The sequence below is a fragment of the Homo sapiens genome, chromosome 21 (assembly GCF_000001405.40).
Source record: "Homo sapiens chromosome 21, GRCh38.p14 Primary Assembly".
NCBI lineage: Eukaryota > Metazoa > Chordata > Mammalia > Primates > Hominidae > Homo > Homo sapiens.
The window spans coordinates 31,798,369-31,822,559 of NC_000021.9; the positions used below are offsets into that span (position 1 = coordinate 31,798,369).

A 24,191-nucleotide genomic window follows, 5' to 3' on the forward strand; every position below is an offset into this window, starting at 1 on the left:
ATAGCAGAAACCTGGTATTACAAGAAAGGAAGTTGGCCGGGTTCCATGGCCCACGCCTGTAATCCCAGCACTTTGGGAGGCCGAGGTGGGCAGATCACAAGGTTAGGAGTTCGAGACCAGCCTGGGCAACATGGCAAAACCCCATCTCTGCTAAAAATACAAAAATTAGCCGGGCATGCCTGTAATCCCAGCTACTCGGAAGGCTGAGGCAGGAGAATGAATTGAACCCAGGAGGCAGAGGTTGCAGTGAGCTGAGATTGTGCCACTGTGCTGCAGTCTGGGTGACAAAGCAAGGCTCTGTCTCAAAAAAAAAAAAAAAAAAAAGAAATAAGAAATGAAGTCAACATGTAATTCTTTGTGCCCAGATTAGATATTCCGAGGAGATGAAGAAAGAACCTTGTTCTTGAGCAGTTTATAATCTTGAGACAAACTCATTACAAATTACTAGGTTATATTACTAGACAGCAGACAGTATTATTAGTAGCAAAATCATATGCAATGCATCCGTTAGAATGGTGAGAGTCTTGTGGTCCCAGGTTGCCCAGGACTAAAGGGTTGGCTGCTACACAGGGCTTTCAGTATTAAACTGAGATAGTCCCAGGCAAACATGATGGCTGGTCACCATGGAGAAGGATCGATTTGCGTGCAAGCACAGCTGGGGAAGGCTTTGTAGATGAGGGAGATATCTGAGTGGGCGTTAAAGTCTAGAAGAATGTACAGCAGCCGGGAGCTAGGAGGAGAGAGGCAGAACTGTAATTTGAATGCATGAGCAGCCTCAGAGATTCCCAGCACTATTCGTTTAAATCCAGGTATTTAAAACCCAGTGTGTTTTTAGCGATCACTTGGCGTGTTGCTACAAGAAGTGTGACACAGCTAAGTGGTTCTGCGAGCAGAAGTGGTAACAGTTCATATGCACACCCACCTCTGAGTACAGGTTAATTAGCTTGTGTTGGCAGAGCCTTTGAGTGTGTGCAGTACGCCCCACAACCCGGATATTATTAGCCAGTTAGCAACACCTTAAAAATACCACATTGCTGCAGTCCCTTCAGCTCTTGTTTCTTCCCAATTTCTTTGAAATAGCTGGATTCCTGCAGATTTCAGCATGAGCCTCTCACTGGTACTCAAGTGGACACAGTGCCTGACACCTGCGTGAATGTGATTACAAACTGACCCTGGGCCTGGGCTGCATTATTGCTCCGCTGCGGGGCCAATTTCCAAACAGTATGCTGCTGCATTCCTGTTAGAACAGGTTGCATTTATCCTCTCTGTCTCTTCTCTTGTTGGCCTGTTCGTAGACATGGTTTCTACACACACACACACACACACACACACACACACACACACACACACATCTTTCATATGCCATACATGTGATATCATAGACCATATGATATTACGTAATACATCTTATAATGAGAGATATGCTAGTGTCACCCAACGACCACAAACCCTGGATGACAGCCTGCTCTTGCTTGAGCTCAGGCTGAGTCCTATGTCCCTTGGGTGGGGCAGAAGAGGGAAGGGCTTCAGCACAGGCGACTTCCTCCCTGTCCAGAGCTGCTGCCACAGGAGTTGGGGGGTGAGTTGAGCCCCACCGTGGAGCCTGCTTCCTATTCACAGGCAGCTTCAAGCTTAGCCAGGCAAAACGACCGTGGTAATGGCTGAACTCTCAAAAGCATGTAAGTGTGGATGTGTGTGTGTGTGTGTGTGTGTGTGTGTGTGTGTGTGTGTGTGGAATGGGTGTCTATGTGTATATATGTATGCATATGAGTTTGGAGGCATGTGTGCTATATGTATGTGTTTGGAGAGGGTGTGTGTGTGAGTATAGGTGTGTGTGGGGGAATGGAATGGTATGTGTATGATGTGTTCATGTGATCCCAAGAGTTGATAGTTGTGCTCTGAGCCCCAGCAGTTGCACAAGTTTGCCAGCCCTCAGATGTGGGCGCAGAAGACATTCCTGGCTCCCTGTTCTGGCAAGAGAGTCGGTGACAGCCCTGCAGGGGGACTGGAGAATGGGGAGTCGGGGAGTCCCAGGTGTGGAGCACAGGAAGGGCGGGAGGCCGGTTTCCAGGCCTGGGCGAGCCTCCCATCCTCACCCCTCTCCCAGTTAGAGTGAGAGGCAGAGGGAGTGACAGGCTGATTTTGCTGCTAGCAGTCATCAGTCTCGGACCTGCTGCCAATCTGCGGAGCTGCTGTAAGCAGCTCCCCGGCTATTGTCACTGAGCAGTGACACACAGATCGGATGGGATCCTGTGCTTTGCGGCTCCACCCTCGGCTGGGGTCTCCTGAATAAGAAAGTGCACGCCCAGACAGGTCTGCCTCAGTCCTGCTCATGGGGGGCATGCCAATTCCAGAGCTTCCCTGGATCAGGCTGCCCCTCTGCCAGCCCACCACGCAGGTGGGATGGAGTGAGCAGTCAGCAGAGCCGATTTTCCTCAGAGCTCTTATAAAGCCTGAGTAAAAACAAGCTCAAAGTGTTATTTCTATTCTCTCACTCCACAACAATTAACATAGAAGACTTCTGAGACCAAATGTGTGTGAGTTTCCCCCACACTCCAAGCAAGCAATCAGTCTGCAGCGGACACCAGCTGGCTGTACTCCAGTTGAATGCCATCTACCTGGAGCTAGCGTCACATCCCACAGGGCCAGGGGCTCAGCCCCCAAGGCTGCCCCCCTCTTCTGATGCCAATCATAAGCCCCTGGTTATTTTGCCTGTGCTTGTGACTCACCAGCTCTGAATTGGGGTTCCCACAACCTCCTCCTTTGGTTCGATTAATTTGCTGGAGCTGCTCACAGACTTCAGGAAATCCTTATGTTTACCAGTTTATTACAAAGGATATTTTAAGATATACAAATGAGGCTGGGCACGGTGGCTCACACCTGTAATCCCAGCACTTTGGGATGCCGAGGGGGGCGGATTACCTGAGGTCAGGAGTTCGAGACTAACCTGGCTAACATGGTGAAACCCTGTCTCTACTGAAAACACAAAAATTAGCTGGGTGTGGTGGCAGGTGCTTGTAATCCCAGCTACTCGGGAGGCTGAGGCAGGAGAATCGCTTGAACCCCAGGAGGCAGAGGTTGCAGTGAGCCAAGATTGAGCCACTGCACTCCAGCCTGGGCGACAGAGTGATACTCCTTTCAAACAACAACAACGAAAAGATACAAATAAACACTCAGATGAAGAGATACACAGGAGGAGGTCTGGAGGAGTCCTGAGCCCAGAGCTTCTGTCCCCGTGGAGTTGGGGTGCGCCACGGTCCAGGCACATGGTTGTTGTGTAAGCCCCTGTGTGTCTGGCTATCTGCTGGCTCTCTGAACCCCGTCCTTTCGGGTTTTTATGTAAGCTTCATTACGCAGGCATGATTGATGACATCATTGGGCATTGGTGAACAACTTGACCTTCAACCCCTCTCCCCTTTGCTGAGGTTGGGGAGGGGGCTGAAAGTCCCAACCCTCTAATCCCGCCTTGGTCTTTCTGGTGACCAGCCCCCATCCCAAAGTTATCTAGGGGTTGCCAGTCATCAGTCAAATCATTTACATAGAGAAGACATCACTTTGGAGACTCTGAGGATTTTAGGAATTATATGCCAGGAAACAAGATGAAAACCAGACGTGTTTCACAATATCGTAGAATTCCAGAAATGGAGGCTACTCTTGCAGGACTGCTATACATGAGCCTTGAAAAATCGATATGGCAGTACAATACACACTAGCCATTTACTGTTTGGTAGTGGAGGGAGGGGTGGAGTCTTACCAAGTAAAGCAGTGGTTTAAAAACACAGACAGATGGAGACATTTGAGCCCTGGAGTCTGAATATCAAAGATTCCTGGAAATTACAGATTCCTGGGGTTTCTCTCCTGACAGGTTTGGACAAGAGTTCCTTGGCCTCTGGGTGTCCCCCCAACCCCCATCCCAACAGTGGTGCCCTCATAAATTATTGCAAAACTGACCCAGTGTGGTCTTAAGGAAAGGGAAAGATGTGTAAATAGGGGTTAAGGGCTATTTAAAGGGAACAATCTCCTCCCTCATATTACTTTTTTTTTAAATTTTATTATTATTATACTTTAAGTTTTAGGGTACATGCGCACAATGTTCACGTTTTTAAAATTGACTCACCAAAGGCCAGCATGGCCTGTGACCCTGTGCCTGCAGGCTCACATTTTCTAAATGACAAAGTGCTTCCTGCCTCCCGACAGCATTTCAGACAAGTCAACCTCGGGTCACTGTTTTTTTTTTTTTTTTTTACCCGCTTAGAATTGATGGGTTCCCTTGGTCTTCGGTGAGCCCCTTCAGTGCTGATACCCATCTGGTTATTCTTCCTTTTTTCTCTCGGTCTTTCATTCCTTTCTTTGACTTGTGTTGACAAAGCACCTAGGAATCATCCTTTTGAAAAAATTGTTTTACTCTTACTGTAGTCAGCAAAGTTCACTTTATATTTTCTCAATGTTCATTTTAAAAGTAGAAATTTCTCCAGGCACAGTGGCTCACACCTGTAATCTCAGCACTTTGGGAGGCGGACGTGGGTGGATCACTTAAGGTCAGGAGTTTGAGACCAGCCTGGCCAACAGGGTGAAGCCTCGTGTCTTCTAAAAATGCAAAACTTAGCCAGGCGTGGTAGTGGGCGCCTGTAGTCCCAGGTACTTGGGAGGCTGAGGCAGGAGAATCGCTTGAACCTGGTAGGCGGAGGTTGCAGTGAGCCGAGATTGCACAACTGCACTCCAGCCTGGGTGGCAGAGTGAGACTTGGTCTCAAAAAAAAAAAAAAAAAAAAGAAATTTCGCTTATCGGTCTTTCTTATAAGCATTACTTACATTATAGATCAGAGCGATGCACTAGAACTTTTCAAAATGATGGGAATGTTCTGTACCTGCACCGTCCTATTAAACTAGCCACCAGCCACCTGTAGCACTTGAACACTTCAAATGTGACTAGTGTGATCGAGAAACCACATTTTCAATTTTACTTAATTCTATTCAATTAAAATGTAAATAGCCGCATGTGACTAGTGGCTGCAGTAGCTAACCGTGTAAGTAGGGAACAAGTACGGATCTCCAAGGTGCTCCTCCTCCAAATCCCAGCAAATTCAGATTGCTTTTTCCTTGAGCAACCCAGGCACACTCCTTCATCCTTCTCTCGGCCCCCTTGGCATGAGAGGAAGTAGGCAAACACTCAGCTTTTTGCCCTGCTGTTCCTACAGCTCTGAGAGTCCTTCACACGGTGAGTAAGAGGTTGGGTTCGGAAAAGCTTGCTGAAATGTCATTAATATGGGTGAGAATATTTCAGTTCTTCGCCAAGCATTTTCTTTCTTGACACAACAGGTTTACCTGCTTACGCATAAAGGAAAGCAATGGCTAAACCCTGAAATGAAATGCCTGGGTCCCAGGTGGCTCATAGTTCTATTTCAATTTAATGCATGTTTAAACAAACGTAAGTTATTAGAGTTATGTACGCTTGAAGGTACTATATGACGAACATTTTGGGAGAAAGCTTATGGGAATTACAGTTACATAACCGGAGAAGAATTTGAAGAGTCCCGGGTTTGCATGGAGGAAAGAAGCTCAAGGCTGCATTTAAGCTTCCAACTGAGGCACTGTCTCTCTAAGACATTACTGGAATCTGACTGTAATTGGGTGACTGTTGGCAAAGACCTAGGATGAGGGAGACGATTAGGAAGCATCTGTTTATACAAAGAGGACAAAGGGACAAGGCATTTCCAGGGTGGAAAAAAACCTCAGACTTTTTAGCAAAAGTCAAAGGCAATGGTGAAACCCTGAAAGGAGGAAGTGGCTGGAAATATAGTGCAGACAATGGTGTACACCTGGAAAGGATCTAAAAACCCGAGAGAGCTCATCAGTGTCAGAAAACAAGATTGATGAGGCCTACCTGAGCGTGGGTGTCAGACAGAGACTATGTACGGGAACGATTCCTAGATTTGGAGAAGAGTTCTTGGTTAAAACAACAGGAGGTAGCCCTTTATTTTTCTCTTTCTTTCTTTCTTTCTTTCTTTCTTTCTTTTTTTCTTTCTTTCTTTCTTTTTCTTTTCTCCTTCCTTCCTTCCTTCCTTCCTTCCTTCCTTCCTTCCTTCCTTCCTTCCTTCCTTCTCTCTCTCTCTCTCTCTTTCTTTCTTTCTTTCTTTCTCTTTCTTTCAAGACAGAGTCTGGCGCTGTTGCCCAGGCTGGAGTGCAGTGGTGCAGTCTTGGCTTACTGCAACCTCTGCCTCCTGGGTTCAAGTGATTCTCCTGCCTCAGCCTCCTGAGTAGCTGGGACTACAGGCACATGCCACCATGCCTGGCTAATTTTTGTATTTTTAGTAGAGACGGGGTTTCACCATATTGGTCAGGCTGGGATTGAACTCCTAACCTCGTGATCCACCCGCCTTGACCTCCCAAAGTGCTGGGATTAAGGCATAAGCCACTCCTCCTGGCCTTCTTCCTCTTCTTCTTTTTTTTTTTTTTTTTTAAATTGAGACAGAGTCTTGCTCTGTCACCTGGGCTGGAGTTCAGTGGCATGATCTCAGCTCACAGCAACCTCCACCTCCCAGGTTCAAGCAATTCTCCTGCCTCAGCCTCCCAAGTAGCTGGGATAACAGGTGTGCGCCACCATGCCTGGCTAATTTTTGTATTTTTAGTAGAGATGGGGTTTCATCATGTTGGCCAGGCTGATCTAGAACTCCTGACCTCAAATGATCCACCAGTCTTGGCCTCCCAAAGTGCTGGGATTACAGGCGTGAGCACCCAGCCCCCTTTGTTTCTTTTTCTATCCAGCTGTGTTCATCTGCTTGGGCTACCATAACAAAATAGCATACACTGGGTGGCTTAAACAACAGAAATTTATTTTCAAATAGCTCTGGAGGCTGAGAAGTCCAAGATCAAGGTGCCAGCTGATTCAGTTCCTGTTGAGGGCCCACTTCCTGTCTTGCAGAGGGCTGCCTTCTAACCATGTCCTTAAATTGTGGAGAGGGAGAGAAGGTGACCTCTGGTCTCTTCTTCTTCCCACCCTCATCACCTCATCTAAACCTAATTACCTCCCAAAGACCCCACCATTTCCAAATACCATCACATTGGGGGTTAGGGCTTCAACATGTGAATTTGGATGGATTGTAGATATTCAGTCTACAATACCAAAAATACAATAAATATTTATTGAGCACCTACTATGTGCTAGGGTTGTATCAGAGTAAAACACCTTTTCTTCCTCTAGAAACTCATTGCAAACAACTGCAACTCAAAGAAATAAGCACTAAAGTTCTAGAGTGCACAGAGGATAGGGGCAAACACTGTGTGGGGGTATAGAGAAGACTTCATGGGGAGGTGACATTTGAATGGGGTCTGGAAGGACAAGGGAGACACAGAGGGGGTGAGTCCAAGACAGAAATGACAGTGTGTACTAAATCAGGGAGAGGGTCAAGGCAATGTGTGTTGAGGTCAGTGTTGATACATTGGGTTGTGGGATTAGAAATGATGGATGGGGTAGGGTAGGTAGGCAGGAGATGACATGCAGAGGCAGGCTGGGGGTGGAAGAAGGGCTAAATGTGTCATATTAAGGAATTTGAACCTGATCCCAAAGGAAATGGGGAGTCTGAGGGCTCTGGAAATGTTTTAACCAGGAAAGTGTGCCGATTTATGTGCAGGAAGCTAGTGGGCATTGTATCTGTTTGCTGGGGCTACCATTAAAAATTACCACAGATTGGCTGGGCGCAGTGGCTCATGCCTGTAATCCCAGCACTTTGGGAGGCCAAGGTGAGAGGATCATGAGGTCAGGAGATCGAGACCATCCTGGCTAACATGGTGAAACCCCATCTCTACTAAAAATACAAAACAAAATCAGCTGGGTGTGATGGCACACACCTGTGGTCCCAGCTACTCGGGAGGCTGAGGCAGGAGAATGGCGTGAACCTGGGAGGTGGAGCTTGCAGTGAGCCGAGATTGTGCCACTGCACTCCAGCCTGGGCGACAGAGGGAGACTCTGTCTCGACAACAACAACAACAACAACAACAACAACAACAACAACAACAAGTACCACAGACTGGGTGGCTTAACAGAAACTTATTTTCTCAGTCCTGGAAGTTACAGGTACGAGATTGAGATGTCAGCAGGGTTGGTTCCTTCTGAGGCCTCTGTCCCAGGCTGGTAGATGGCCGCCTTCTCACTGCGTCCTCATGTATTCTTTCTTGTATGTATGTTCCTGTTTACTGGGGGTTAGGACTTCAACATATGAATTTTGGGAGGATGGAATTCAGCCTTGTCAGGCATCTGTGTTGGAGGTGGACTGGGTAGGAAGGACTGGTATGTGGTGAGCCAGTGATAAAGCTCTTTTGTGCAAGTCCACTTGTTGAGTGAGGGTGGAGACCTGATTGGGAGCCGTCGTGGACATAATCAGGAGGCAGCAGATGGGGAAGGTATTCGGAAGGTGGATTCCATGTCAATAATGTGGGGAAGAGGAGGTTGTGATGCTGGGCCATTTCTAGCACGGACCTTTTAAGAGGAGGCTGGCGGCTTAAACGAACGGCAGGAATTTAGTAGAGGGAATAAGTTTGGAGGTCTTAACTAAGAATTCTTAGCTACTGTCAATGAATTATTGACAAATAAATGGGTATAGGTAAAATCCTATGAGTTTAGAATGTAACAGACACTCTGATTGCAAAGTGATGAGCTCCAGCTCTATGTAGCACCCAGCATGTGTTGTTTACGTGAAAGTTTGACATTTTTTAATAGTAATTTCTTATCCGAGAACTCTTCATCCTGCTAATAAATGCTTGCTTCTCTATGTGCCTGAGACCTTCAGCACATGCTTTAACCAGGCCAAAATAAAGGGACCAATACGTTTCCTAATATCCTAAAGAAGACATTGGTGATAGATATGATTTCAGAAACAGGGACATGTAGGAAAATAACTGAAAGGACTTAGATGCAGTTAGAGTGACCCTTTTCCCCTCTTAAACCTCAATATTGCTATCTGTGCATTCTCAGCATTGTAAGGCCAACCTGTATAACATTACTTGTGTTATGTACTTGTTCTTGAGTCAATGCCAGGGGAAAATGGACCTGGGAGAGCTCGCTTTCATAGCTCCCAAGCCTGATTAACTTCTAACGTGAACCCTCTAAAGCTTCCCCTTTGAGTCATCACTGCAGAATCAAAGTCTCCCACTTTTTCCTCTTCCATCTTCCTTTTTGATGCTGGGTCATCACCAGTGCTATTTTTCTCTAAAATGCCTGCTGGCATCTTGAGCCTGGCACCACTAAACACTAGGTAAGAGGGGCAAAGGCAATTAAGATGGGTGTGGCAGAGTTTCTGCCTTTCAGGAGCCTACAATTATGTGAAGGGATGAGACAAGGACAGGAGGCTAAAATGAAACTCTTGTCTCAGTTTTGGCTGAGGCCTCAAGTCAATAGGTGGCAAAAACAATGGTGTTCCAAAGTCAGGGTGTGGTTTCCGATGCAGGACTTGGAGGTGGTTGAAAACCAGCTTTGAGGGCCCCCAGTTGACCACCCAGCTGCAACCTATATACCACATGGAGAGGCCGGGAGAGGGGTTGGAGATTAAAGAAATGATTTCTTGGAATAGAAATAATCCTTGTGTAAAAAGTTTTGTCCCTTCATGGAGGCAGGTTGCATGCTACCTTCCTCCTTCATGTCTGTGAGCATGGGTTCAAAGACACCTTTCAGAGAGCATATTAGGTGTCCCCAGAAACTTAGGTAACTTGGGGTACTGGAGGCTGATTTCACAGGTACAGTCTCAAGGGGCAGAGGCTGGCCAAAGTCACAGAGAAGAGAGTTATGTGCCTGCCCTTCCACTGGCCACAGGCCAAAGATACAAGTTCACTGTGGACCAGAGGTGGGTCATATGAGAGAGAAAGCCCTGCTAGGGTTATCAGATAATTCCCAGAGCAGTAGGAAGCTAGTGGTATTGCTAGATAGCCAGGGACCAAGAGAGAGCTCTTAAGTGGCCATGTCGATGGAATGATTTTGCCTAAGTCAAGAGCAGGACAGATGAGAAATATTCCCAGTGATGGGGGACAGGAGGGAGAGCCGAGGGAAAGAATTGGTGTTCTACATGAGCCATGGCCTGGGGAAAACCAACATCAGATGTGTGTTTACCTCTGCCCCTCCCCCTGTCTAACCGTGGAGAGGGCAGAAGGTACAGCCTGTGAGGTGAGGGAAAGAGACAAGAAGCCAACCATGATTCCCAAGGCACCAGCCAGAAAGAGGCCTAGGTTGACCCAGGGAGGGGTGTGGACTTGAAAATAGAGATTTGGTGATTCTATGGGCTAGATGTCATGAATGCATTTTTGTGAGAGTGAGTAGTAAGCCACAGGGACCACCTGTGATTTCTTCCCAGAATGGTGAAGGACTCAGTCTCACAGAGCAGGTGGAGCAGGCCCTTTCAGGGGAAAGAAAACATCATTTTCTGATTGTATCTTGCTATGATTTGAATGTGTCCCCATATGTTGGAAGCTTAATCTTTAATGCAATAGTGTTAGATACGTTGCCTAATGGCTGATGTTTAGGTCATGAGGGCTTCATCTTCATGAATGGATTAATGCTGATTATAAAAGGGCTCGAGTTATTCTCTCTCTGTCTTTCACCCTCTCCTTGCCTTTCTGCCATGTGATGCGTTCTGCCATGTTATGACACAGCAAGAAGGCCCTCACAAGATGCCAGCCCCTTGATCTTGGACTTTCCAGCCGCCAGAACTGTGAGAAATAAATCTCTGCTTATTATAAATTACCCAGTCTCAGGTATTCCCTTACAGAAGCACAAAATGGACTAAGACACACCTAGTTAATTCCTCACATTCAAGTTCTAGTTATGTGCACAAGCAGTGATAATCTCAGGCAGAATAATGTGCATGGTCCTCATCCTCTCAATGCATACCTATCAGACATCTGCTATGTGCCAGGCACTGACTGGACTCTGGAGAACGGCAGGGAATAAAACCAGGCAAGGTATGGACCCTTCACAGAGCCGACAGTTTAGTAGAGAAGACACTAGGCCTCCTGAGACAAAGTTATAGTGTCTTTTGAGAATTTGACAGGGGAAAAATTACAGGGGGGTAGAGTGAAAAGAGGAAAGCTAAGTAGAAGAGTGATGCTTGGGGCTGGATCACACAGAAGCTGTCAGACCTGGGTGGGCAGCGATGGCTGGGGTGGGGAGGTTATTCTAGACAGAATGACTGGTGTTCCGCGCCTGGGGAAAGAGAGTGGTCAGTTTCATGAGAGCACACAGTATATAGAATGAGTATGATTCCTCTTATATGAAATAGAATAGAAGAGGCAAATCTACAGAGACAGGAAGTAGATTAGTGGTTGCCTAAGGTTGAGGGGTGGGGAGAAATGGGAAGTAACCACCAATGAGTACAGGGCTTCTTTTTGCAGTGATAATATTTTTCTAACTTCAGATTGTGGTGATGGTTGCAGTTAATATACTAAAGTCACTGAATTGTAGACTTTCAGTGAGTGAATTGCTGTGTGAATTATATCTCAAATAGGCTGAGAAACAGGGGAAGGAGAATCTAGTCACAGCAAAATAAATGTGGAATGATACAGTCAATAGAAAATTCAGAATTTGGCAACACCGAGCAAATATGTCATTTAGAGCTACGTGGTAGGACTCTAAGCAAATCGAGACAATGATTATGAACATGTCAGGGATGGGTTAGCTTGAGGAGGTGGGAGGGGAATATGCTAAGTGAGGGAGCAGAGGGGAATGGCTAACAAACTCGACATATTTGATGATTTACTGTGAGAGGTGGTTTTGCAGGTGTGGTCTTTAGAACAATAATTTGTACAACTCTTAGGAACGCTCTTTTGAATGTATGACAGGTTTTAAAATAAAGAAAGAAAAAATGGGGAGGACAGTCAGAAATATATATGGAGAGGGCGTGCAGAGTTCAGAGTTCCAGGCAAGACATTCGTGTTTAACGAAGGAGACAGGGAGCCAGCAAAGATACTTGAGCAGGCAGCCAAGGGGATGAGAGCAGCAGGCTAGGAAGGGATCCAGGCTCTGTATGCAACATGCATGGGGGCAGGGAGGGGCCAGTGGTGGGGAGAAGCCCTAGGAGACTGGTGATAGGATCTGGGTATCTCGTAGGGTAGCAGGGATGGGAGTGCTTTGTGGGAAGTCTGAGGACCACCGGCAGAAGGGTAAAGTTGAAGATGAAAGATCAATTATGGCACCTTGGGCAGAGATAGGGGTTCAGGAGGAGCAGCTGGAATAAACAGAAGATGAATAGTTTAGTCTTAGACATGCAAGAAATATAAGAAACTGTGGGGAGATTGTAACTATAACTTGGCAAATTGTAGGTTCCCGGATAATTACGGGGCCTTTATAAATTCTTTCTGTGCTTGTTTCCTTGAGAAATCTGCTCTTTATTGGTAGTCCTATCTAGAGAACTCCATATCCCCCTCTGATCTGCAGTCCTGGCTCCCACAACTTTCCAGATAGAAGAACAATTTCTTTCTTTCTTTCTTTCTTTTTTCTTCTTTTTTTTTTTTTTGAAACGGAGTCTTGCTCTGTCGCCCAGGCTGGAATGCAATGGCGCGATCTAGGCTCACTGCAACCTCCACCTCCTGGGTTCAAGTGATTCTCCTGCCTCAGCCTCCTGAATAGGTGGGATTACAGGCACCCACCACCATGCCCAGCTTGGTTTTGTATTTTTACTAGAGACAGGGTTTCACCAGGCTGGTCTCGAACTCCTGACCTCCGGTGATCCACCCGCCTCGGCCTCCCAAAGTGCTGGGATTACAGGCGTGAGCCACCATGCCGGCCATCCTGTTGCATTTTCAGGGGCTTCGCCTGGGGCCCTGGCAGTGCAGACTTGAGAGAATGCTTTCCTGTTTCCCAACTCCAAAAATTCTCCCTGAATACATTCTTCCTGAATGCTCTGGCTCCTCATTTCTTGTCTCCCTGGGAAACTAGCCTGGCTAGTGTGTGAGAAGAATTGAGGCAAAGGCCTATAGGGGAAAGAGACTCTTAGATAGGACATCAAGGATGAATGGAAGATGTCATCCATACTGGGTGGGAGGAGCAAGTGTACAGCTGCCCAAGGGAGAGACAGGATGATTGAAGCAACAAGGCAGAATCCCAAGAGGTAGGAAAAGGCCATGTTGTTCAAGCAGTTTGGACTTGAACCTTCACCCTAAGTGTAACTGAAGCTATTGAAGGCTTTGAAGCAGGGTGGTGATGTGATCGGTTTCTACCTGCATCTAATGAGCATTTACTGTGTGCCAGGAGTCATTTGGTCTTTCATATACATTATCTCTCTCTCTTTTTTTTTGAGACGGAGTCTCACTCTGTCACCAGGCTGGAGTGCAGTGGTGCAATCTCGGTTCACTGCAACCTCTGCCTCCTGGGTTCAAGTGATTCTCCTGCCTCACCCTCCCAAATAACTGGGACTATAGGTGTGCACCACCATGCCCGGCTAATTTTTGTATTTTTAGTAGAGACAGGGTATCACCATGTTGGCCAGGATGGTCTTGATCTCTTGACCTTGTGATCCGCCTGCCTCGGCCTCCTAAAGTGCTGGGATTATGGGCATGAGCCACCGCTCCCGGCTCATACATTATCTCATTTAATATTTTCAGTGGTTCCATGGGGGTAGGTGTCATCCTTCTGTCCATCCATCTCATAGTTTTTAAAATTAAGGGACCACTTTGTGCCAGTCACTATATTTACGTTCATTGGACAGATGAGGAAACTGAAGAGTTCTCACTCCCAGAGGGTCAAATCAATTCCTAAAAGGCTGTAACCAGAAAGAGGCACAGCCAGGATTCAAACCCACAAAAGCAGATTCCAGGGCTTGTCCACTGGGCCTGAGGCATGGTTCAGCCAAGCCCCCTCCCTGGGGTGGAGGTGCAGGTCCTGGGTGGATCTTAAAGGCAGCAAGGTCAGCAAGAGCCAGGGTCCTGAAGTATGAACTGATCTTGGGTAAAAAGCGGGGGTCAGTGAGGCCACTACAGGTGACATGCAGAGGATAAAAGGCACTTGGGAATGAACTTGGAAAACCTGGGCACCTGCTATTTCTCTGCTTTCTTTCTTGCTAATGGATCTCTGATTTTCTTTTTCTTGGTGGTTGGCTTGAGGGGTTGGGAGGGTGGGTAGCCATGTGTCCAGCTCCTATGAATGAATTGTGATTGCTTTTAAGCCAGTCATGGCTATGCCAATACCATTTGCCAGGTATTCACTTTGCCGCTGTCTCCTCTTGTAGCTAATGGGAGCCATTGCACCAAATTTCGCTCAATGAGATGAAAAGGAAGTCTGTTGAGGGCTTGTGAAAAATATTTTTGATCCCTGCCATAGAAGGCAGAAAAGAGGAGATCCTATGTTATCTGGCTGCCTCACTGTATGCCGACTTTGAATGCAGTCATGATTCTTGGAGCTGTGGCAGCCGTCTTGTGACCATGAAGCAATAATCACAAAGACAAAAAACCAACAAATTAATGGTGGAGACTGGAAAAAGCTAGACACCTAATGAGCCTGAGAAGTTGAACTAATGGCAGCAAATTTTCCTTCCAGACTTCTTAGTATGTGAAAAAGGTAAACTTCTAGGAGTTCATGTGTTTGCATTATTTCTAGCTGACCATGTGCCAGCTGGTATAATAAGCACAGTGGAGATGAGGTAGGAAGGAAAGGTGAACCTATTTGGAGTGCAGGGTGATGTGTTAGGAACATTGCTTTGTTTTCTAATTTTTTTTTTTTGAGACAGAGTCTTGCTGTGTTTTCCAGGCTGGAGTGCAGTGGTGCGATCTTGGCTCACAGCAACCTCTGCCTCCCAGGTTCAAGTGATTCTCCTGCCTCAGCCTCCTGAGTAGCTGGGATTATAGGTGCCTGCCACCATGCCCAGCTAATTTTTTTTTGTATTTTTAGTAGAGATGGGGTTTTGCCATGTTGGCCAGGCTGATCTCGAACTCCTGACCTCAGGTGATCCACCCGCCTCAGCCTCCCAAATTGTTGAGATTACAGGGGTGAGCTACTGGTGCCCCGCCTTCTAATTGTTTTATGTGTTGCACATCTTGAAGACAGAGTCACCTTTTCTTTTCTGTTTTCCCCTTCCCACTTATACTCTCCTCACCTCTTCTTTTCCTCTAACCCATATTAAGCCCATATGCTCAACAATCATTTTTTTTGAATAAAGAAATTTCCCCTCTTTAATTCTCATTGTACTTCTATGAAGCTATCAAAAATATTCAAGGGCAGAGACCTAAACTTTTCCACTGTGCTCATGAGGTCATTACAGATGCTTTGCTTATTTTATTTAGCGCCTTGAAAGGAAGCTGGTAATTTAGAAACTTAGATGGTTCTTTGATGAGAAAAATACCTAAAGGAGAAAATGTCACAAAAAACTTTGGGGTGGAGAGGAGGGCAGGCATAAAAATAAAATGACAAAGACAATGGAAGAACGGGAAAGGGAGGATGAAAAGAAGTCTTTTGTATCACTGGCATTTCAGGATTTTACACCAGCAGTCTCTTCTATCAATGAAGACATATTTTTGAGGTCTCTAATTATAATGGTTTCCTATGGCAGACACTGTTAGTTACCCTGCAAACAGCTATCTCCCTTATTTTACGTCAATAGAATCCCATTTTTAATTATCCTCTAGAGTGTGGCAATGTTACTCACATGAGGATGGTCCTTACAGTGGCCCCAGACCCAGTGTAGGGAATCTTATCCTTCTCCACCCAGGGATTGGTTTATGAATGGTCATGTGACAGAATTTTGGCCAATGAGATGAGAAGGGAATCCATAGGGGTCTTATGGGAAATTTTCCTTTGCTTTTCAAAGAAGGCAGCAAGCTCCTTTTTCAGCTTCTGGTGTGCATAGGTGAGGAGGTGATGCCTGGAACTATGACAGCCTTTATTTATTTATTTATTTATTTATTATTTAAGTTCTAGGGTACATGTGCACAACATGCAGGTTTGTTACATATGTATACATGCCATGTTGGTGTGCTGCACCCATTAACTCGTCATTTACATTAGGTATATCTCCTAATGCTTTCGCTCCCCCCTCCCCCCACCCCACGACAGGCCCCAGTGTGCAATGTTCTCCTTTCTGTGTCCAAGTGTTCTCATTGTTCAATTCCCACCTATGAGTGAGAACATGCGGTGTTTGGTTTTTTGTTCTTGTGATAGTTTGCTGAGAATGATGGTTTCCAGCTTCATCCATGTCCCTACAAAGGACATGAACTCATCCTTTTTTATGGCTGCATAGTATTCCATGGTGTATATGTGCCATATTTTCTTAATCCAGTCTATCATTGTTGGACATTTGGGTTGATTCCAAGTCTTTGCTTTTGTGAATAGTGCCACAATAAACATATGTGTGCATGTGTCTTTATAGCAGCATGATTTATAATCCTTTGGGTATATACCCAGTAAAGGGATGGCTGGGTCAAATGGTATTTCTAGTTGTAGATCCTTGAGGAATCACCCCACTGTCTTCCAGAATGGTTGAACTAGTTTACAGTCCGTCCCACTAACAGTGTAAAAGTGTTCCTATTTCTCCACATCCTCTCCAGCACCTGTTGTTTCCTGACTTTTTAATGATTGCCATTCTAACTGATGTGAGATGGTATCTCATTGTGGTTTTGATTTGCATTTCTCTGATGGCCAATGATGATGAGCATTTTTTCATGTGTCTGCTGGCTGCATAAATGTCTTCTTTTGAGAAGCGTCTGTTCATATCCTTTGCCCACTTTCTGATGGGGTTGTTTGTTTTTTTCTTGTAAATTTGTTTGAGTTCTTTGTAGATTCTGGATATTAGCCCTTTGTCAGATAAGTGGATTGCAAAAATTTTCTCCCATTCTGTAGGTTGCCTGTTCACTCTGATGGTAGTTTCTTTTGCTGTGCAGAAGCTCTTTAGTTTAATTAGATCCAATTTGTCTATTTTGGCTTTTGTTGCCATTGCTTTTGGTGTTTTAGACATGAAGTCCTTGCTCATGCCTATGTCCTGAATTGTATTGCCTAGGTTTTCTTCTAGGGTTTTTATGGTTTTAGGTCTAACATGTAAGTCTTTCATCCATCTTGAATTAATTTTTGTATAAGGTGTAAGGAAGGGATCCAGTTTCAGCTTTCTACATATGGCTAGCCAGTTTTCCCAGCACCATTTATCAAATAGGGAATCCTTTCCCCGTTTCTTGTTTTTGTCAGGTTTGTCAAAGATCAGATGGTTGTAGATATGCGGCATTATTTCTGAGGACTCTGTTCTGTTCCATTGATCTATATCTCTGTTTTGGTACCAGTACCATGCTGTTTTGGTTACTGTAGCCTTGTAGTATAGTTTGAAGTCAGGTAGCGTGATGCTTCTGGCTTTGTTCTTTTGGCTTAGGATTGACTTGGTGATGCGGGCTCTTTTTTGGTTCCATATGAACTTTGAAGTAGTTTTTTCCAATTCTGTGAAGAAAGTCATTGGTAGCTTGATGGGGATGGCATTGAATCTATAAATTACCTTGGGCAGTATGGCCATTTTCACGATATTGATTCTTCCTACCCGTGAGCATGGAATGTTCTTCCATTTGTTTGTATCCTCTTTTATTTCATTGAGCAGTGGTTTGTAGTTCTCCTTGAAAAGGTCCTTCACATCCCTTGTAAGTTGGATTCCTAGGTATTTTATTCTCTTTGAAGCAATTGTGAATGGGAGTTCACTCATGATTTGGCTCTCTGTTTGTTATTGGTGTATAAGAATGCTTGTGATTTTTGTACATTGATTTTGTATCCTGAGACTTTGCTGAAGTTGCTTATCAGCTTAAGGAGATTTTGGGCTGAGACAATGGGGTTTTCTAGATATACAATCATGTCATCTGCAAACAGGGACAATTTGACTTCCTCTTTTCCTAATTGAATACCCTTTATTTCCTTCTCCTGCCTAATTGCCCTGGCTAGAACTTCCAACACTATGTTGAATGGGAGTGGTGAGAGAGGGCATTCCTGTGGTGTGCCAGTTTTCAAAGGGAATGCTTCCAGTTTTTGCCCATTCAGTATGATATTGGCTGTGGGTTTGTCATAGATAGCTCTTATTATTTTGAGATACGTCCCATCAATACCTAATTTATTAAGAGTTTTTAGCATGAAGGGTTGTTGAATTTTGTCAAAGGCCTTTTCTGCATCTATTGAGATAATCATGTGGTTTTTGTCTTTGGTTCTGTTTATATGCTGGATTACATTTATTGATTTGCATATGTTGAACCAGCCTTGCATCCCAGGGATGAAGCCCACTTGATCATGGTGGATAAGCTTTTTGATGTGCTGCTGGATTCGGTTTGCCAGTATTTTATTGAGGATTTTTGCATAAATGTTCATCAAGGATATTGGTCTAAAATTCTCTTTTTTGATTGTGTCTCTGCCAGGCTTTGGTATCAGGATGATGCTGGCCTCATAAAATGAGTTAGGGAGGATTCCCTCTTTTTCTATTGATTGGAAAAGATTCAGAAGGAATGGTACCAGCTCCTCCTTGTACCTCTGGTAGAATTCAGCTGTGAATCCATCTGGTCCTGGACTTTTTTCGTTGGTAGGCTATTAATTATTGCCTCAATTTCAGAGCCTGTTATTGGTCTATTCAGGGATTCAACTTCTTCCTGGTTTAGTGTTGGGAGGGTGTATGTGTCTAGGAATTTATCCATTTCTTCTAGATTTTCTAGTTTATTTGTGTAGAGGTGTTTATAGTATTCTCTGATGGTAGTTTGTATTTCTGTGGGATTGGTGGTGATATCCCCTTTATCATTTTTGATTGTGTCTATTTGATTCTTCTCTCTTTTCTTCTTCATTAGTCTTGCTAGTAGTCTATCAATTTTGTTGATCTTTTCAAAAAACCAGCTCCTGGATTCATTGATTTTTTGAAGGGTTTTTTGTGTCTCTATCTCCTTCAGTTCTTCTCTGATCTTAGTTATTTCTTCCTTCTGCTAGCTTTTGAATGCGTTTGCTCTCGCTTCTCTAGTTCTTTTAATTGTGATGTTAGGGTGTCAATTTTAGATCTTTCCTGCTTTCTCTTGTGGGCATTTAGTGCTATAAATTTCCCTCTACACACTGCTTTAAATGTGCCCCAGAGATTCTGGTATGTTGTGTCTTTGTTCTCATTGGTTTCAAAGAACATATTTATTTCTGCCTTCATTTCTTTATGTACCCAGTAGTCATTCAGGAGCAGGTTGTTCAGTTTCCATGTAGTTGAGTGGTTTTGACTGAGTTTCTTAGTCCTGAGTTCCAGTTTGATTGCAATGTGGTCTGAGAGACAGTTTATTATAATTTCTGTTCTTTTACATTTGCTGAGGAGTGCTTTCCTTCCAACTATGTGGTCAATTTTGGAATAAGTGTGATGTGATGCTGAGAAGAATGTATATTCTGTTGATTTGGGGTGGAGAATTCTGTAAATATCTATTAGGTCCGCTTAGTGCAGAGCTGAGTTCAACTCCTGGATATCCTTGTTAACTTTCTGTCTTGTTGATCTGTCTAATGTTGACAGTGGGGTGTTAAAGTCTCCCATTATTATTGTGTGGGAGTCTAAGTGTCTTTGTAGATCTCTAAGGACTTGCTTTATGAAACTGGGTGCTCCTGTATTGGGTGCGTATATATTTAAGATAGCTAGCTCTTCTTGTTGAATTGATCCCTTTACCATTATGTAATGGCCTTCTTTGTCTCTTTTGATCTTTGTTGGTTTAAAGTCTGTTTTATCCGAGACTAGGATTGCAACCCCTGCCTTTTTTTGTTTTCCATTTGCTTGGTAGATCTTGCGCCATCCCTTTATTTTAAGCCTATGTGTGTCTCTGCACGTGACGTGGGTCTCCTGAATACAGCATGCTGATGGGTCTTGACTCTTTATCCAATTTGCCAGTCTGTGTCTTTTAATTGGAGCATTTAGCCCATTTACATTTAAGGTTAATATTGTTATGTGTGAATTTGATCCTGTCATTATGATGTTAGCTGGTTATTTTGCTCGTTAGTTGATGCAGTTTCTTCCTAGCATTGGTGGTCTTTACAATTTGGCATGTTTTTGCAGTGGCTGATACCGGTTGTTCCTTTCCATGTTTAGTGCTTCCTTCAGGAGCTCTTGTAGGGCAGGGCTGGTGGTGACAAAATCTCAGCATTTGCTTGTCTGTAAAGGATTTTATTTCTCCTTCACTTATGAAGCTTAGTTTGGCTGGATATGAAATTCTGGGTTGAAAATTCTTTTCTTTAAGAATGTTGAATATTGGCCCCCACTCTCTTCTGGCTTGTAGAGTTTCTGCCAAGAGATCCACTGTTAGTCTGATGGGCTTCCCTTTGTGGGTAACCTGACCTTTCTCTGGCTGCCGTTAACATTTGTTCCTTCATTTCAAATTTGGTGAATCTGACAATTATGTGTCTTGGAGTTGCTCTTCTCGAGGAGTATCTTTGTGGCATTCTCTGTATTTCCTGAATTTGAATGTTGGCCTGCCTTGCTAGATTGGGGAAGTTCTCCTGGATAATATCCTGCAGAGTGATTTCCAACTTGGTTCCATTCTCCCCATCACTTTCAGGTACACCAATCAGATGTAGATTTGGTGTTTTCACATAGTCCCATATTTCTTGGAGGCTTTGTTCATTTCTTTTTACTCTTTTTTCTCTAAATTTCTCTTCTCGCTTCATTTCATTCATTTGATGTTCAATCACTGATACCCTTTCTTCCAGTTGATCGAATCAGCTACTGAAGCTTGTGCATTCGTCTCATAGTTCTCGTGCGATGGTTTTCAGCTCCATCAGGTCATTTAAGGACTTCTCTACACTGGTTATTCTAGTTAGCCATTCGTCTAATCTTTTTTCAAGGTTTTTAGCTTCTTTGTGTTGGGTTTGAACTTCCTCCTTTAGCTCAGAGAAGTTTGATCATCTGAAATCTTCTTCTCTCAACTCGTCAAAGGCATTCTCCATCCAGCTTTGTTCCATTGCTGGCGAGGAGCTGTGTTCCTTTGGAGGGGGAGAGGTGCTCTGATTTTTAGAATTTTCAGCTTTTCTGCTCTGTTTTTTCCACATCTTTGTGGTTTTATCTACCTTTGGTCTTTGATGATGGTGATGTACAGATGGGGTTTTGGTGTAGATGTCCTTTCTGTTTTTTCGTTTTCCTTCTAACAGTCAGGACCCTCAGCTGCAGGTCTGTTGGAGTTTGCTGGAGGTCCACTCCAGATCCTGTTTGCCTGGGTATCAGCAGTGGAGGCTGCAGAACAGCGAATATTGCTGAACAGCAAATGTTGCTGCCTGATCATTCCTCTGGAAGCTTCATCTCAGAGGGGTACCTGGCTGTGTGAGGTGTCAGTCTGCCCCTACTGGGGGGTGCCTCCCAGTTAGGCTACTCGGGGGTCAGAGACCCAGTTGAGGAGGCAGTCTGTCCATTCTCAGATCTCAAACTCTGTGCTGGGATAACCACTACTCTCTTCAAAGCTGTCAGACAGGGACATTTAAGTCTGCAGAGGTTTCTCCTGCCTTTTGTTCAGCTATGCCCTGCCCCCAGAGGTGGAGTCTACAGAGGCAGGCAGGCCTCCCTGAGCTGCGGTGGGCTCCACCCAGTTCGAGCTTCCTGGCTGCTTTGTTTACCTACTCAAGCCTCAGCAATGGCAGGTGCCCCTCCTCCAGCCTCGCTGCTGCCTTGCAGTTTGATCTCAGACTGCTGTGCTAGCAATGAGCGAGGCTCCGTGGGCATGGGACCCTCTGAGCCAGGCGCAGGATATAATCTCCTAGTGTGCTGTTTGCTAAGACCATTGGAAAAGCACAGTATTAGGGTGGGAGTGACCTGATTTTCCAGGTGCCATCTGCCACAGCTTCCCTTGGCTAGGAAAGGGAATTCCCTGACCCCTTGCGCTTCCCAGGTGAGGCGATGCCTCGCCCTGCTTTGGCTCACACTTGGTGCGCTGCACCCACTGTCCTGCCCCGACTGTCCAATGAGCCCCAGTGAGATGAACCCAGTACCTCAGTTGGAAATGCAGAAATCACCCGTCTTCTGCATCGCTCACGCTGGGAGCTGTAGACTGGAGCTGTTCCTATTCAGCCATCTTGGAACCCACCACCTGTGGCAGCCTTTTAGGGGCCATGAGAGATGCCCGCCCAAAAGGATAAGCCAACACACTGAAGCTAGTGAAAAAGAAAAACAAAAATAATCTTGAACCTTAACTTAGTTTAACCTCCGTATTAACAAACTCTGGTTATATCTGTTAATACTGATGTAAATAAATGATTAAATAAATAAATGAAGAATAAAAAAACTCCTGTGCAGAATAATCTCAAGTAATTTATATAGCTACTCTGTCCTCAAGGAGATAGAATGTACCCCCGCACTCCCGAAGTGTGGACTACACATAATGGCTTTTTTCTGATAAGTACACTGGGTGGAGAGAAGGGTCACTGTACAGTAGAGAAGGCTGACAAACACCGCCTCAGTTGGTGATCACAGTTAATGTCAACAGTGATAAGTCATGTTGATAGCATGTACCTCTTACATAATGTAATGAGAATGGCACTTTCTCTCTGGTCTTGTCTGATCTTTCCCAAACCCACAACTCTGTCTAATTCATGAGACAAACATCAGACGAACCCAAGTTGAAATATGTTCTAAACAAAATTTCTTGTCAGTATTCCTCAAAACTATCAAGGAAAATTTGAGAAACTGTGACAAGAGGCACCCAAGGAGAAATGGTTACTAACTGTAATGTGGCATCCTAGATGAAATCCTGGAGGAGAAATAGGACATAAGGTGAAAAGAAAGAAAATCTGAATAAAGTATGGACTTTAATGAACAATAGTGCATCAATACTGGTTCATTAATTATGACAAATTTACCATACTAATGAAAGATGTTAATAATAGGGCAAAGTGGGCCTGGGATTTATCAGAATTTTCTGTAAATCTAAAACTATTTTAATATTAAAAGTTTATTTTAAAAATAGAGACACCGATATCAAGAATGAAAGGTCCAATTCTAACAAAAGGTCCAACTCCAGATTCTATAGACATTAAAAGGATAATATTAGTAACAACTTTGTGCCAATATATTTGATAACAAATGAAAAAAAATTGTTAAAAGACACAAAGCTCACTGAGGAATAAATAGGTAACTTAAAAATTCCCGTATCTCTTAAGAGCATTAATATCTAGTTAAAAATTTTCGCCGGGCGCAGTGGTTCACGCCTGTAATCCCAGCACTTTGGGAGGCTGAGGCGGGTGGATCATGAGTTCAGGAGATCGAGACCATCCTGGCTAACATGGTGAAACCCCGTCTCTACTAAAAAAAAAAATACAAAAAATTAGCCGAGCGTGGCGGTGGGCACCTGTAGTCCCAGCTACTCGGGAGGCTGAGACAGGAGAATGGCATGAACTCAGGAGGCGGAGCTTGCAGTGAGCCAAGATCGCCACTGCACTCCAGCCTGGGTGACAAAGCAAGACTCTGTCTCAAAAAAAAAAAAAAAATTCCCACAAAGAAAACTCAAGGCCCAGTTAGTTCTATTGGGAAATTCTGCCAAACAATTAAGGGAAAAATTAAACCAATTCTACACAAAATCTTCCTAAAAATGGAAGAGAAAGGTATACTTCCGGACTGTCTTTGTTATACAATGGAATAGTATTTAGCCATAAAAAGAGTGAACTTCTGTCATTTGCAGCAGCATGGATGAAACTGGAGATCATTATGTTAACTGAATAAACCAGGCACAGAAAGACAATTATTGCATATTCTCACTCATAAATGGGAGCTAAAAAAGTGGACCTCATGGATGTAGGTAGTAGAACGATGGTTACCAGAAGCTGGGAAGCATCAGTGGGATGGGTCAGAGGCATGCAGAGAGGTTGGTTATTGGGTACAAACATAACAGTTAGATAGGAGGAATAAGTTCTATTGTTTGATAGCACAGTAGGGTGACTACAATTAACAATGATTTATTGTATATTTCAAAACAGCTGGAGGAGTTGAAATGCTGTCAGCACAAAGAAATGATAAATGTGTGAGGCGATGGATATCCTAATTACTCTGAGTTGATTATTATAGATGGTATGCACATATCTAAGTATCACATGTACTCTATAAATATGTACAATTATTATATATCAATTAAAAAATAGAACTACTATATGATCCAGCAATCCTATTTCTGGATATATACCCAAAAGACATAAAAATATCAAAGAGATATCTGCACTCCCATATTCATAATTGACAAGATATGGAATCAATTTGTGTCCACCGATGGATGAATGATAAAGGC

General features: G+C 44.3%; 2 annotated features.

Moving 5' to 3' along the window:
* Nucleotides 1,837–2,337: an enhancer, noted in NCBI's record as "H3K4me1 hESC enhancer chr21:33172518-33173018 (GRCh37/hg19 assembly coordinates)". NCBI's record gives its function as "activates a minimal SCP1, AML or CMV promoter by ChIP-STARR-seq in naive H9 embryonic stem cells {active_cell/tissue: H9 hESC(naive)}" and the evidence as "EXISTENCE:reporter gene assay evidence [ECO:0000049][PMID:30033119]".
* Nucleotides 2,338–2,838: an enhancer, noted in NCBI's record as "H3K4me1 hESC enhancer chr21:33173019-33173519 (GRCh37/hg19 assembly coordinates)". NCBI's record gives its function as "activates a minimal SCP1, AML or CMV promoter by ChIP-STARR-seq in naive H9 embryonic stem cells {active_cell/tissue: H9 hESC(naive)}" and the evidence as "EXISTENCE:reporter gene assay evidence [ECO:0000049][PMID:30033119]".